Here is a 16,037-nt window from a genome sequence, read left to right on the forward strand (position 1 = left end):
ATACAGGGTAAGTATCTCGCCCAAAGTAACAAAACTTAGTAGAGGAGCAAGGATTCAAATCCAGGCACTTCTAAGGCTGAATATTTCAGACACAACTCTATTTGCCTCCACCAGGAATACTGGAATATTTGGAATACCAAATTACAGGGAGGCAGACTTCATCTCAATATAAGAACAAAACAATTAGCAGTTAAAATATCAAAAACGAAGATGAACTCTAGGTGAGAAAGATCATCAAAGAAAAATATGAAAAATTTAAACATTATGTGACTGAAAATGTTCACTTTCAAGATCCCTTCAAGAACCCTTCCAACCCTAAAATATTTCCTTCTAGTGGAGGTATGTAAATTTCTGCCTAGACTGAAAGATACGGAAGATTTTTCATTATTTCAGTAAAAAAAAAAATTCTAATTAGAAATGTTGAATTATGAAACTTCATTTTTGAATTAGCAATAAAATATCTGATAATCAACCTGTTATATCCAAATATTTCTAAGACCCTTCAAGTACAATATAATGAATGAAGCAGTTAGGTTGAAGCTCAACACTGAGAACAAAAGTCTTGAGTTAATTCAAAACAAGTATATTCTTTAAAAAAAAGTAACAGCCAACAATCTTAAATTAATTTCATTTTAATAAAGATGTTTGAGGGCTTAAATCAAAACTCCCAATGAAATCAACTGCTTCACAGACACAGATTCAGATCAAACACCTCAAATATTATAGCATCATGATAAATCAACTTTTTAGAATTTTAACATTTTTGTAAATGCAAAATTCTTTTAATATAATATTAATACATAGAAAGGCTATGCTTCAACAGACTGCTTAAATCTACAATGAATCTAAATCAGTACAGTTATTAAAAGCTTTAATACGAAAGAAAAATTTTCACACAGGGTACAGGGAATATCTTCCTCTTCAAAACTTCCTCTTCATCCAACTAAAATCTCCTGCAAATCTGATCTAGGTTGCAAACCACTTGCTCTAGTTACTGCTACCCACTTTGTCAGTCAAAACTGAGCTGAGCACAGCAGGGCAGCTACAGCATTATCTACTCCACAGTGCTTTGCTAAAAGCAAGTATCCACCTCAAGACCCCAAAAACCCTCCCAATAGCCAAATCAAATTACCTTTTCTTCATTTGCATTTTCCTTGTTTATCTTGCAGCTATTTTAACACCATTTCTTGAAATATCATGCTCAGTAATTTTCTATACACCAATAGTCCTGTGTACTCACCTACTCCTTTTTAACTCTTTAGAGATTCTCCAGATCACTTCCTCCTTAAATAATGTAAAAACAGGTTTTCCACAAAGTTTAGACCTCAGTCCCACAGAAACTGTTCCCTAACAGCAGATCTAATAGATCCCATAGTCTCAGCTATCAATTCTCAACAGCAGCCTATAAGATCAGAAAATATTCACCTCTGCTACAGTCTGAATGTTTGTCTCTCAAACCTCAGGTTGAAATTTGATCCCCAATGTTGCAGGTAGGGTAATGAGAGGTGTTTGGGTGGAAGAGACAAATCCCTCACCAATGGCTTGGTGCTGTCCTCACGGTAATGAGTGAGTTTTCAGTCTATTAGTTCCCACAAGAAATGGTTGTTTAAAAAAAAAAACAAAAAACAAAAAACCAAAAAAAAAGCCTGGCACCTCCCTCCTCTTTCGCTTCCTCTCTTTCACCTTATAAATCGCTACCCACACAGACTCCCTTTTGTTTTCTGCCATGAGTGGATGCAGCCTGAGGCCCTCACCAGAAGCCAAGCAGATGCTGGTACCACGATACTTGCAGAAGCATGAGCCAAATAAACCTTTTTTCTTTATAAAATGCCCAAACTCAGGTATTTATTTATAAGAACACAGACAGAGAAAGACACCCTGACATCTCATCTAAGTCCCAGTCCTTCCTCTTTTACTACTGAAAACTACTATCTAGATATTTAAACGCACCTCAAATTCAGTACATGCACACCTCGGAGATATTGAGGGCTCTGTTCCAGACCACCACAATAAAGTGAATATTGCAATAAAGCAAGTCACACGCATTGTTTGGTTTCTCAGTGAATATAAAAGTTAGGTTTACAACTATAGTGTAGTCTAAATGTACAATAGCATTGTCTCTAAAAAACAACATATATACCTTAATAAAAACTACTTTATTGCTAAAAAAAAAAAAAAAAAAAAAAAGATAAAGCTCATTTGGGCCTTCAGTGAGTCATAATCTTTTTGCTGGAGGAAGGTCCTGCCTCCATGTTGATGGCTGCTGACTAATCAGGGTAGTGGCTGGCTGAAGGTTGGGGTGGCTGTGGCAATTTCTTAAAATAAGACAATGAAGCTTGGCACATCCATCGACTTTTCCTTTTACAAAAGGTTTCTTGGTAGCATACGATGCTGTTTGATAGCATTTGATCCACAGTAGAACTCCTTTCCAAGTTGGAGTCAATCCTCTCAATCCTTGCTGGTGCTTTATCAACTAAGCTGGTGTAATACTCTAAATCCTTTGCTGTCATTTCAACAATGTTTACAGCATCTTCACCAGGAATAGGTTCCATCTCAAAAAAACTACTCATCCATAAGAAACAACTCCTCATTCATTCAAGTTTTATAATGAGATTACAGCACTTAGTCACATCTTCAGGCTCCACTTCTAAATCCGGCTCTCTTGCTACTCCCATCACATCTGCAGTTACTTCCTCCACTGAAACCTTGAAACTCTCAAAGTCATCCATGAGGGCTGGAACCAACTTCTTCCAAACTTCTGTTAATGTTGATATTTTGACCTCCTCCATCAATCACAAATGATCTTAATTGGATCTAGAATGGTGACTCCTTTCCAGAAGGTTTTCAATTCACTTTACCCAGATCCATCAGAGAAATCATAATCTACAGCAGTTACACCCTTACAAAATGTTATTTCTTAAATATTAAGACTTGAACTGAAAGTTGAAATGACTCCTTGACCCATGGGCAGCAGAATGGATGTTGTGTTAGCAAACATGAAAACAACATTAATCTTCTTGTACACTTCCATCAGAGCTCTTGGGTGACTAGATGCACTATCAATGAGCAGTAATATTTTGAAAGGAAAATTTTTTTCTGAGCAGTAGGTTTCAATAACAGGCTTAAATTTTCTGTAATTCATGTTGTAAACCACGTTTACATCTGGTTCAGTAAACCAGATGTGCTGTCATCCAGGATTTGTGGTTCCATTTTTAAAGCATAGGCAGAGTAGATTTAGCATTTTTTTTGGGGGGGGGGGGGACAGAGTCTCGCTCCATTGACCAGCCTTGAGTGCAGTGGCACCATCTAAACTCACTGCAACTTCTGCCACCCAGGTTCAAGTGATTCTTGTGCCTCAGCCTCCCGAATAACTGGGACTACAGGCATGCACCACCACGCCTGGCTAATTTTTATATTTTTAGTAGAGACGGGGGTTTCACCATGTTAGCCAGGCTGGTCTCGAACTCCTGGCTCCTGACATCAAGTGATCCACCCATCTCCACCTCCCAAAGTGTTGCGATTACAGGCATGAGCCACCACATCTGGCAGATTTAGCACAATTCTTAAGGGCCCTAGGATTTTCACAATGGTAAATGAGTACTGGCTTCAACTTAAAAGTCACCAGCTTCATTAGCCCTTAACCAGAGAGTCAGCCTGTCCTTCAAAATTTGAAAGCCAGGCATGACTTCTCCTTTCTAGCTATGAAAGTCCTAGATGGTATCTTCTTCCAATAAATAGAAGTCTATTTAATCTATATAGAAAATCTATTGTTTAGTGTAGCCGCCCTCATAAATTATCTTAGGTAGATCTCATGGATAACTTGCTGAAACTTCTGCATCAGTACCTGCTGCTTCATCTTATACTTTTATGTTATGGAGACAGTGTCTCTCCTTAAACCTCATGAACTCATCTCTGTTAGCTTCAAGCTTTTCTTCTGCACCATCTTCACTCTCACAGCCTTCATAGATCTGAAGAGAGTAGGGTCTTGACCTCGAGCCTTTGGCTTAAGGGAATGTTGTGGCGGGTTTGATCTTCTAGCCAGACCATTACAACTTCCTCCATCTTAGCGATAATGCTGTTCCACTTTCTTATCATTCATGTGTTCAGTGGAGTAGCACTTTCAACTTTCTTCAAGAATGTTTCCTTCGCAATCACAACTTGACTGTTTGGGACAAGAGGCCTAGTATTTGGCCTACCTCTGCTTTCAACACGCCTTCCTCACTAAGCTTAATAATTTCTAGTTCTTTTTATTTAAAGTGAGAGATGTGCAAATCTTCCTTATACTTGAACACTTACAGGCCATTATAAAGTTATTAATTGGCCTAATTTCAATATTGCTATGTCTCAGGGAATAAGGAAGCCCATGGAGAGGAAACTAGGGAAGAGCTGGCTGGTGGAGCAGTCAAAACACACACATTATTATATAAGTTTACCATTTTACATGAGTGCAGTTTGCAGTGCCCCAAAACAATTACAATAGTAACATTAAAGATCACTGATCAGAAATCACCATAACAAATATAATAATTTAAAGTCTGAAATATTGCAAAAATTACAAAAATGTGACAGAGACAAGAAGTGCTCACGCTGTTGGAAAAATGGCTGAGATAGACTTGCTCAACAAAGTTGCCACAAACCTTCAACTTGTAAAAATGCAATATCTGCAAACCACAACAAGTGAAGTAGAATAAAGCAAGGTATGACTATATTTCCAAAACTGACCATATCTTCCCCTGAAAAATTATGTCTACAGCATTATTCATAATAGCCAAAAAAGCAGGAACAACCCAAATGTTCAACTAATAAATAAAATGTGGTGTATCAAGAATGGCAATCATTAAAAAGTCAGGAAACAACAGGTGCTGGAGAGGATGTGGAGAAATAGGAACACTTTTACACTGTTGGTGGGGCTGTAAACTAGTTCAACCATTGTGGAAGTCAGTGTGGCGATTCCTCAAGGATCTAGAACTAGACATACCATTTGACCCAGCCATCCCATTACTGGGTATATACCCAAAGGACTATAAATCATGCTGCTATAAAGACACATGCACACGTCTGTTTATTGCGGCATTATTCACAATAGCAAAGACTTGGAACCAACCCAAATGTCCAACAATGATAGACTGGATTAAGAAAATGTGGCACATATACACCATGGAATACTATGCAGCCATAAAAAATGATGAGTTCATGTCCTTTGTAGGGACATGGATGAAATTGGAAACCATCATTCTCAGTAAACTATCGCAAGAACAGAAAACCAAACACCGCATATTCTCACTCATAGGTGGGAAATGAACAATGAGATCACATGGACACAGGAAGGGGAACATCACACTCTGGGGACTATTGTGGGGTGGGGGGAGGGGGGAGGGATAGCACTGGGAGATACACCTACTGCTAGATGACGAGTTAGTGGGTGCAGCACACCAGCATGGCACATGTATACGTATGTAACTAACCTGCACAATGTGCACATGTACCCTAAAACTTAAAGTATAATAATAAAAAAATAAATAAATAAATAATCAAAGTGAAAAAAATGTGGTGTATCAATACAATGTAGCATTATTTAGCAATTTTTTAAAATGAAGTACTGATACATGCTACAACATGAAACTTTGAAAGTGAAAGAAGTCAGTCACACAGTTTGATTCTATTTATATCTAATATTCAGAATAATGGGTAACAGGTTTCCTTTTGAGGAGCTGAAAATATTATGGAATTAGTGTTGACAGTTGTACAACACTATGAATGTACTAAATGCCAGTGAACCGTATATTTTTAAATGGTGAAATTATATGAATCTTACCTTAAATTATAAAAGTTAGTTTTACTTTTGCATTTCCCTTTTTCTACTAAACTGCCATCCTTCTGATCTTGAATCCCTGGAGGTTTTTTTCAATGTCTCCCTCTTTTAATTATATCTAGTCAATTCCCCAACCCTATAGACTTCCTTCAAAATATTTCCCACACCATCCTTGCCTCTCCATCCACTCAATACTTGACCACGCCCATAGAACCTCACACCTAAAGTGAAATAGATTTACTTTATAAGATTCACTTTATATAGTTGCTCTTCAGCTTGTGATGGGGTAATGATTAAACCCATCATTAGCTGAAAATATCGTAAGTTGAAAATGCATTCAATACACCTAACCTACCGAACATCACAGCTTAGTCTAACTTACCTTAAACGTGCTCAGAACCCTTTACATTAGCCTGTGGTTGGGCAAAATCATCTGACAACACAGTATACTGTATGTTATCAGTTGTTTACCCTCATGATCATGTGGCTGACTGGTAGCTGCAACTTGCTGTTGCTGCCTAGTATCACAATATGGTATCATACCACATATCACTAGCCCGGAAAAAGATCAAAATTCAAAACTTGAAGTACAGTTTCTACTAAATGTATATTGCTGTCACACCATCATAAAGTCAAAAAAACTTAAGTTAAACCATCTTAAGCTGGGGACTGTCTGTACTTGGTCTCTCAGCATCCAGATTTTTGCTTTCATCTCTTCAATAAAGAGCCCCCAAATTAACAATTTACTAAAATAATGCTTTCATTCTGTCATTTACCAATTCCAAATTGTTTAATAACTTTCCAACCTAAGCAGAGCTCGGTTAGGTTATCCTAGTGTTAAAAGCTTCCAGGTGCAGTGAGGTGCAGAACAGGTCAAATGCTCTAAGGAGGCAACACTTCTAACAGTTGTTGTCACTGCCTGCCTGTAAGGCTCACCTGCATTGTATAGCCCAAATAGAAGAGAACATGTAATTCTGAGATAAAAAGGCTGACGGTGAAGTGAGGGAAAACCAAGGCATCGTATCTTATAAAATGAATACACAATATCTGGCACCCAGTGTTATTCCAATGAATAAAATGAACTTTTTCTAAGACTTGATTTCCTCATCTGTAAAGGATGATAACACCGCCTTTTGCAAAGAAGTATTTGTTCTGATGATGGAATACGGTAACTGTGAACATACTTTATAATCTCTAAAACACTACAATAAAAGAAATCAAAGAATAGAAAGACATCTGTTGTGTATAACTTCTCAAATGAACAGACACTACAATGTAGTGTCACTGAAGTAGTGCCAATTTTCTTATTTACCTTTTTCTATTCAATAACGTTGTCAGATCTATTTTTTTTCTCATGGAATGTAAGAAAGCTATTTCCATGTTGCATTTTGGTTATGAAGGCCTTTCTAGCAGCAGTCAGCAATCCTGTATAGCTGAGAGTCAGATAATCTTAAACCTTGAATAGGAAAAGCAGAGCAAGTAAAAAAAGCAAGAGATACGACAGAGATTAGGATTATACCTAAAACCCCCAGGCCTCTCTCAAGCCCCTCCAGGCTTAGCTTCTTAGATTTGCCAAAGGTAACCCACAAAATAAGGAACGCACAGGAGTGAAGCCTAGAAGCAAAGGGCAAATTAGTTCATAGACTGATCATCTTTGCTTTGGTTACTAGCCCTAGTCAAAATGCGTATCAACTCAAAGGCATTCAGTTAATAATGTTAAAAAAAAAAATCCCAAACCTGATCAAAAAAAGATGTGTGGTTGACTAAACTTTAAGGATGGAATCTTTGCCTGGGAGTCCAGAAACCCCAAACCTGAGAAATTTTTTTCAATATGTATTCATTTACTTAAAGATGATAATAATGAAAGCAGCACATATTAATATATTTTTACAAAAAAAGTGTATTTCTCAAAACAAAAAATTTAAAGAGTGGTATTGTTTTACATTTTTGCTACATTTTTGCATACCTCATTGTCTTAATAAAGACAGCTGGATTCTCTTACGACCTTCTGCATTCAACCTGTTGCACTACACTCTTCTGTTGAAGAAAATACAGCTTCACAGGAAAAGTATGTGGTAAAGGGAGGACCTAGTAGAATCCTTCAAAGAGTCTCAAGCCCAAGACCACATTTAGAGAACTACTGTACTAGATAAACACAAGTCAAAGCCCTTTTTAAAAAAGAAAGCTAAATTACTATGCTAGCTGGTCAAAAATTTGTAAGTTACATACCAATCCAAAAAGTAAAGCAATAATTTTAAACTGTTGGGGAATATTCAGGTGATTAAAAAAAAAAACTAAGTATTTATCGAACATTAATTATGTGTAAGGCATTGTGTTTACAAACACAAAGAAACAAGGCATACATCATCCCAAAAATTACTTTGTCTTCATCCTGTTATATAAAACCAGAAAAACAGGAATGTTTGCAATGAAAATGACTGAAATATTTTTTGGTGTAATCCATTTAAGCAAAAAGCCTAAATACAACGTTGGCCTGATGTGCCAGGGTTCCAATTAATAATTTTTTATTATGAAGGGTCTCTGAAGGTAAAGCTTGGAAGAAAGGTTTAAGAAAAAAAAACTGGTAACAACAAAAAAACTTTAGAACAGAAACCTCAAGGAACAACTTTCTAGGTACTGCCTGTATTCATTAGAGATGTATTAAAGTACAACAGGCTAAAAAAAAAAACCTATTATGGAAGTAGAAGAGGCAGGTAGGTTTAATGTGTGTATTGGAGAGGGGTGGAACTCTAACTGTCCAAATTAACCATTAAAGTCCAGTATACTATCAGAGTCCAAAGGAAACTAGTTTTTTACTTTCTTTCTTGAGCAGTTCTTTTTAGAAAGACTGACATTATTCACATTGTTTCCTAGAGATCTTTAAACAAAGAAGGGAAAATTTACTTACTACTTTAAAATAGATTAAAACTCATTATATCTTATAATTATTATGTGGGTCTATAACAGAATCCTTTTATCAATCTAAAATACATTATGGGATGTTAGTGGCTTTATTTTTCCTACATCTTGAAATATTTTGCTAACTCCATCATTCTAGGTATTATTTCACCATTGTTCATCAATTAATCCCAACTATGCTAAAAAAATAATAGGACTGCCTAAAAGAATAATACAACAGTGAAATAAATCATGACTAATGCATTAGCCTTAATTGTTCTCATTTATTTTCCAGTTTTCTTATAGTTTTGCAAAAATATTGCATCAATTTTCAAAGACATATGGAAAACTGAAGACATTTTTGTAGTCTATGTCAGAGAGGGAAAACAATTCCTCTATCACCTTTGGTTCAGTATCTCATGGCCTGTGAATTAAACTATGAAAAGACAGATTCACAAGAGAAGAAGCATACAATTTTTATTAATATTGACATGCACAGGAGTTCACAGAAAAGAAGTGAAACTCAAACAAGTGGTTAGACGTAGAGGCTTTTATACTATTTTAACCCCCCCAAAAAAGGGAACTTGGAATTTCAGGGACAATAAACCATGGGAAAGTGACTAGAAAAAATGGGAGAACTAATGGAAAATAACGGTTATTTTAGTAAAATTTGTTTATACAAACTCATCTCTGCCTTGACTCTCAATCTCAAGGGAAAAGAGTTGCTCTTCCCTCCCTGTTATAAGAAGGAAACTGGCTGGGCGTGGTGGCTCATGCCTGTAATCCCAGCACTTTGGGAGGTGGGTCACCTGAGGTCAGGAGTTCGAGACCAGCCTGGCCAACATGGCAAAACCCCGTCTCTACTAAAAATACAAAATTAGTCAGGCATGGTGGCGCACGCCTGTAGTTCCAGCTACTCGGGAGGCTGAGGCAGGAGAATCACTTGAACCCGGGAAGTGGAGGCTGCAGTGAGCTGAGATCACGCCATTGCATTCCAGCCTGGACAACAAGAGCAAGACACGGTCTCAAAAAGAAAAAAAAGAAAAAAGATAGAAATTAATGCCCTGCTACTACTAGGCAAATAAGGGGAGGGCACAGAACTCTTCCAGCATCTACTGACTCTCAATTGCCTTCAACTCAAAATAATCCTCATGCGTAAGTGGCAGATTCTGATCCCCTTCATCTGTTTCTAGTTTTCACTGAATACAATTAAGAACTCAGACTTCATTTTCTGCCCAAAATGGAAGAGAAGAAAATTAACAGAGGAAGGCATTTCACAACTATTAGACGAACCAGAAGATTAACACAAAGATAGACAGCAGCACTTTAGACTCTTAATGATGGTAGTGAAAATGACTTTATAAGGGAAATCTCAGACTGAGTCCTTGGATGAGTTACTTTAGATAAATTCCCTCAAACTTAATCAATGAGAGAATAACGTATTTCTAAAAACAAAAAGGAAATACGGCATTCTCATCCAGTGGGAAGAACTTCATCACACAATATTTTTACATTAAGAATATGGACCATGCTGTTCTGCTCAAAGAAAATGTGACAGTCTTTCATCCTTTACAAGTGTGTGCTAAAATTTTACTTAATACATTTTTTTTTTTTTAAGAGACAGGGTCTCACTCTGTCACCCAGGCTGGAGTGCAGTGACACAATTGCAGCTCACTGCAACCCAGACCTGAAGCGATCCTCCCACCTCAGCCTCCCAAGTACCTGGGACCACAGGCACATGCCACTACACCCGGCTAATTTTTTATTTTTTGTAGAGACAAGGTCTTCTTATGTTGCCCAGGCTAGTCTCAAACTCCTAGGCTCAAGCAATCCTGCCTTGGCCTCCCAAAGTGCTGGGATTACAGGCATAAGCCACCACACCCGGCCTTGATACAACGCTTAAGTGCCCAAGTATTGAATGCAGGGGTATGCAAAGGTGACTGGAAGGAAATAGAAAATATAGACATTTTAAAAAATTCATTGGATTGATCATTCTAGTTAGTTGCTCATAAATCTGAAATTGAAAAATCTTGCAATTGTGGAGCAAAGAAGATGGCCGTCCTGTCTTCAACAAAATTATGAACCATCAAAGGTTTCAAAAATTCTTCCAGTATTGCATTTTGATGATGTACATGCAAAAAGACAACCCAGAAGGAATGACAAGCAAGAACCTATCAGGGAAGCATTTGAAATTTAGAATCAGTATTTATAAGACAAATAGTTCCAGGGTCTTGTATGAAAGTTGCTAAGTACAGACAGTCTCCAACTTAAGATGGTTCAACTTACAACAATTTTCAACTTTATAATGGTGTGAAAGTGCATTCATTACTTCCAGTACTCATACAACCATTCTGTTTTTCACTTTCAGTACAGTACTCAATAAATTACATGAGATACTCAACACTTTATTATTAAAAAATAAGCTTTGAGTTAGATGATGTTGCCCAACTGTAGACTAATATAAATGTTCTGTGCATATTTGAGGTAGGCTAAGCCAAGCTACGATGTTCAGTATGTTAGGTGTATTAAATGCATTTTCAACTCATGATACTTTCAACTAATGACGGGTTTATCAAGGATGTAACCTATCGTAATTCAAGGAGCATCTATAGTTAATTCCATTCAGATGATGTTGCCCATTTCAGGTAGAAATACCTTCAAAAGGTGAAAAACATGAAATGAAAATCTGAGCAACAGGTGACAATGAAATATGATAAGCTTGGACAATGCAGATCTACACAGAGATTGGGAAAAGGCATGAAAGTAGAATCAAGATTGATATATACGAAATGACAGAAAAATTTCAAAATTCTGTCAGACATATAACTTGTGACAAATTTTTTACAAATTTAGACTTGGCTGAATATCACACAGCATCAAACTCTCCTTAGTTGGCACTGTTAGGAAGAACAGCATTGAACTTCTGTGAATTTTCACAAATGGAAAAGCAAAAGAAGTCAACTGCACAAAATCTGGATTTCGAATATAATTCATGATTCTTATTGTCCTAAGGAAAACTATACCTACTCTTCTCAGCTCAGTGCATTCTCAACCATCAATGAATTTTAAAATCCTTGCATAAATTAATCTGAAGTGATCTGTATTACAAAAAGACTACAGAAGTGACACATTCAAAAAGTGGGTCAGAAACAATACTTGGAAGAGAATGATTTGAAGATGGCTTATGACTGATATTAGTTCAGAGTATACTTTCATTGTACGGGAAAAGCTTCAGTTACAAAACTGGAAGTTACCAAGAAGAAATTCCTCATGCAACTAGGAAAATAACTTGCAGAAAATAGGAAGGGAATGTTGTCTTACCCTCTAACCACAATGATTTCTGCACAGATCTGAAAATGGGAAGAAAGAAAGATGTTCTTTGTACAGATACAGAAACTCAAAAAGAAAAAAATGTGTGTTACAATGAGAATGTTTATGCAAAGCGTTCAAATGTGATGTATATTTGTTGTAGGAGTGTTATGTAATTAAATGCATGAAATAGATTTTTTATTTTTTATTTTTCTAAGTACATACAAAGATATCTGCTGTATTGAAATTCTTATTAAAAGCTCCAATAAGTTGTTTTACATTATGCTTTATTTTTACTCCTATAAATTATACATAATAACGTAAAATGCAAAAAAAACCAGTCCCTTTTGACCCAGATGATAGTGATAATTGTACACTTTTCCTCGTATACTGAGGGTTAAGAGAATCCTTAAAATTGCTCTGGAGAAATAAATCAAAATTCTAAACATACAATTTTTGATATAAGGCACTGATTAAATCAAGTCATTATTTAAATCACTATTTAAAGCAATCTGAAAATTCAAAGTTTTTAATTCCTTTCTAAAGCAAGAAAAAAACTATTCAGGATTTATATATTTAATTAGTGAATATGTCGTAAGTATTCCTCATCTTCCAAAACTTGCTTTTGGAATAACAAAGTATGTTGTCAATAGAAATATCCAATTTCCTGTCACCTAAAACTACAGTTGACTTTTCATTTGTGAAAACTGCTATTTCAGTGAGCCAATGCTGATTAATAGAACACTGGAATGAAAAAGGACTGGATTAGTAGCCTAACTGGACAGATGTTCCAGTTGAAGCACTTGCAATCCTCCAACATCAAACTACTTCAGAACTTTTCTATTTACCATAGCTTACTATGGCTAAAATGGTCCTAAGCAAACTTTCAAAGAAGGCAAAGCTTTCTGACATCTACTTTCTGCCTCCTCTCTCCTAGTCTCCCTAGGCTCTGATGCCAACACATAGAAGCATTCCAAGTTCCCTAAAGTAGATGGGTTAGTATTTCCTCCAGAATTGTCTCCACTTCTTCTTCTTCCTAACTTCCAAAGCCATACCTAAACGACTGCTCCCAACTGTGTTTATCAGATTACTGCAGGTAAATTCCTACCAACTACTAATGCCAAAATATCACACCACAAATGACTTGCTAATTGCAGAAGGAAATGCTTACAATGGAAAGATAGCTTGTCACCACCTTATCTAAGAGATCAAATTTAGGATTATTAATAAGACAAGCCTACTTTATGTGCCTTTGGATGTTGTATGCAATGAAGCATACTGCATGGCTTATGAAGTATTCCTGTCAAAAAAATATTAAACCTAAATATATTCAAGCCTTTAGACCCAAATCCAAGTTTAGAGAAAACAGAGAGGATAGGGGGAACAAATTTAAACACTATCAGGAGGAACTATCACTAAAACATGGAATATGGGTTATTCTGAAAGACTACAGACCAGGTCTCTTCAAAAGGTCAATTTCGCCCAGTGCTGTGGCTCACATCTGTAATCCCAGCACTTTGGGAGGCCGAGGCAGGTGGATCACTTGAACCCAGGAGTTTGACACCAGCCTAGGTAACACGGCAAAACCCCATCTCTACAAAAAATACAAAAATTAGCTGAGTGTGGTGGCGTGCTCCTGGGTTCCCAGCTACTCAGGAGGCCGAGGTGGGAGGATGGCTTGAGCCCAGGAAGGAGGTCAAGGATGCAGCGAGCCAAGACTGCTCCACAGCGCTCCATCCTGGGACACAGAGCAAGTACCTATCTCAAAAAAAAAAAAAAAAAAAAAAGACTGAAAAGGAATTTTGAAGAAATGGGGGGAAATGTGAATATATACTACACCACGTTAGATTTTAAGGAATATTCTTCACTTTCTTAAGTGTGATTGCGGTATTGTTACACAGAAAAATGGCCTTGATCTCTTACAAAATACATACTGACACACATACAGCATTTAGGGCTGAACTGTCATATCCGTAATGCACTTTGAAACGTTCAGAAAACAGAATGTGAGATAAGTGGAAAAATGCAAATATGGCAAAAAGGTAGCGTTAAAACTAAGTGTTCAAATGGGCTATTTAACTTTCCAATATTTTCGAAAAAAATAGCAAGTTGCAAAGTTAAGAAATTAACTCGAGAATAAAAATATAAAAGCCAGGCTAGATGGTGCACACCTGTAATCCCAGCTACGGAGGCTGAGGTGAGAGGTCAGCTTGAGCCCAGGAGTCTGAGACCAGCCTGGGCAACATAACAACCGCATTTCAAAAGTAAAGTATAAAAATATCAACGAAAGGGCAACTGAGTAATGTTTCTTAAAATCTTTAAGTGAGCCTCCTTGCCTATTCTCATCTACCTCATTCCCACAAAAATGGTATATACTAGAGTTGAGCACCGGAGAAGGAGTCAGAAGACCTAAGGTTCTATTAATATAATTGGCCTTGGCTCTTCCTAGTCAGTGACCTCATTAAAGTCCTCTCCCTGAGGCTCTGTTTCCTCGCCTGCAAAATGATTCCAGCAACCCAGACCACTTCAAAAGGGGCTAAGAGATACAAATCAGGGGTTATCAATGAAAGGCACAAAAGCAAGACACAATTACAACAGTATTTGTAGTGATGTTAAAACATCAGAGGCACACAGCCCTAACAATGGTATAAGCAAACCAGTGCCTTCCCTGGTTAAGTTTCTGCGTGGAGACAGCTGGAGTTGGCACAGCAGTCCCCCAAAGCAGGACACCTTACAGATGCTAAGAGGCAGCTTTTGTGCTTTAAAACTGTCCTTCTAGCGTTCCATTTTATGTTTCATGGCACTAAAAAAGACAAATTCTGTCCAAACCTGAAAATAAAGCCAAATATTTAAGATGACAGATTTTTTTTTTTTTAACAAATCTTCGCAAACAAAGGCCTTTGGCCAAAGGTCTCCCGTGCTTGCAGAAGCGGGTTCACCTTGACGTTTTTCCTCTCCAGCAGATTTCTCCTTAAAAGCGTTAAAACTTGCGATAAGTTGGGAGGAATTCCTTCCATCGCTGGAGCAGGCTAAAACCTCAGAGTGAGATCATTCTTTCCGTCTCAGTAAGTGAACCTTGCAAAGCTCAGAAAATTTTGTCTCCAACTCCACGTTTCTCCTCAGGGCCCTTCTTCTGTAGACAATAACGGGAATTCTATGGCAGAGGAGGGGAGGTCTCTTTGACAAAAATGAGGGTGCAAACGTGGAACGACCGGTCATCTGGGCAAAATGAGGGGCCCTGTGCCTGCAAATCCCGAATCCCCTTTGGTCTCCTTTCCTACGACTGAAGAGACACGGGGGTGGGCTGTGGTGTGAGGACCATGGGTCTTGGCCAAACATCGGCACAAAATGTACCAAAGGGAGTTGCCTCCAGAGAGAAAAGCCAAAACCAGGCTGGGGACAAACAGGCGCACACGCCTGGGAGAGGAGGTGGCGGAGGAGCAGAAGGCGAAGGCCTGCGCGGCCCAGGCCTGCAGCAGCCGAGGCGGCTGCCGCGTCGCGCCGGGATACCTCCTCCCCCGCCTGGGCCGACGCAAGATGGCGGTCCGGCCGCCGCCGCGCAGCCGGTCTCCTCCCCCGCGCTCTGGGCGCTCCCGACGACCCGCGCCGGCCTCAAGACCCCCAGTCCAGCGCCCCCGGAGTGAGGCGGCGCAGGCCGCGCGGGAGGGCCTCTGCCTGCTGCAGCGCAGGGCGGGCGGGGGCGGGGGGGCGCTTACCGTGAGCGGAGCGGATCGGCCTGACTGGAGCCCTGAGGAGGAGGAGAAAGAGGAGGAGGAAAAGGAGGAGCACGAAAAACTACACTGCGGCGACGGCGGCGGCTCCCATTGCGGAGCTGGCAGCCGAGCCGTGGAAAGGGGGGGGCTCTCGTGCAGCCGGCGCGCTGCCTCATGGGTAGGCTCCGGGTCAGCCTCCCCGTGTCCGAGCTCCCTGTCTTCTCGCCGACGCGGGAGGCGGGCACCGGCATGTGCGCCGCGTCGCGGGCCCTCGAAGACCCACGCGCCCCGCCACGCGCCGGTCC

The 16,037-nt window shown here is 38.8% G+C and overlaps 1 protein-coding gene across 5 annotated transcripts in view, besides 2 other annotated features; it reads right to left on the bottom strand.

Annotated features, from left to right (window-relative positions):
- Nucleotides 1-15,787, bottom strand: part of ZNF280D (zinc finger protein 280D) — a 103,334-nt gene extending 87,547 nt beyond the window's left edge. For all 5 annotated transcript variants that reach the window (NM_001002843.3, NM_001288588.2, NM_017661.4 and 2 more), the window contains exon 1: nucleotides 15,736-15,787. The gene's annotated coding sequence lies outside the window, so the exon portion shown is untranslated. The remainder of the gene's footprint in view (nucleotides 1-15,735) is intronic.
- Nucleotides 1,726-1,885: an enhancer, noted in NCBI's record as "active region_9456". NCBI's record gives its function as "activates an Ori minimal core promoter by ATAC-STARR-seq in GM12878 lymphoblastoid cells {active_cell/tissue: GM12878}" and the evidence as "EXISTENCE:reporter gene assay evidence [ECO:0000049][PMID:35858748]".
- Nucleotides 15,537-15,806: a silencer, noted in NCBI's record as "silent region_6466". NCBI's record gives its function as "represses an Ori minimal core promoter by ATAC-STARR-seq in GM12878 lymphoblastoid cells {active_cell/tissue: GM12878}" and the evidence as "EXISTENCE:reporter gene assay evidence [ECO:0000049][PMID:35858748]".

This window comes from Homo sapiens, chromosome 15 (genome assembly GCF_000001405.40).
Source record: "Homo sapiens chromosome 15, GRCh38.p14 Primary Assembly".
Lineage (NCBI taxonomy): Eukaryota > Metazoa > Chordata > Mammalia > Primates > Hominidae > Homo > Homo sapiens.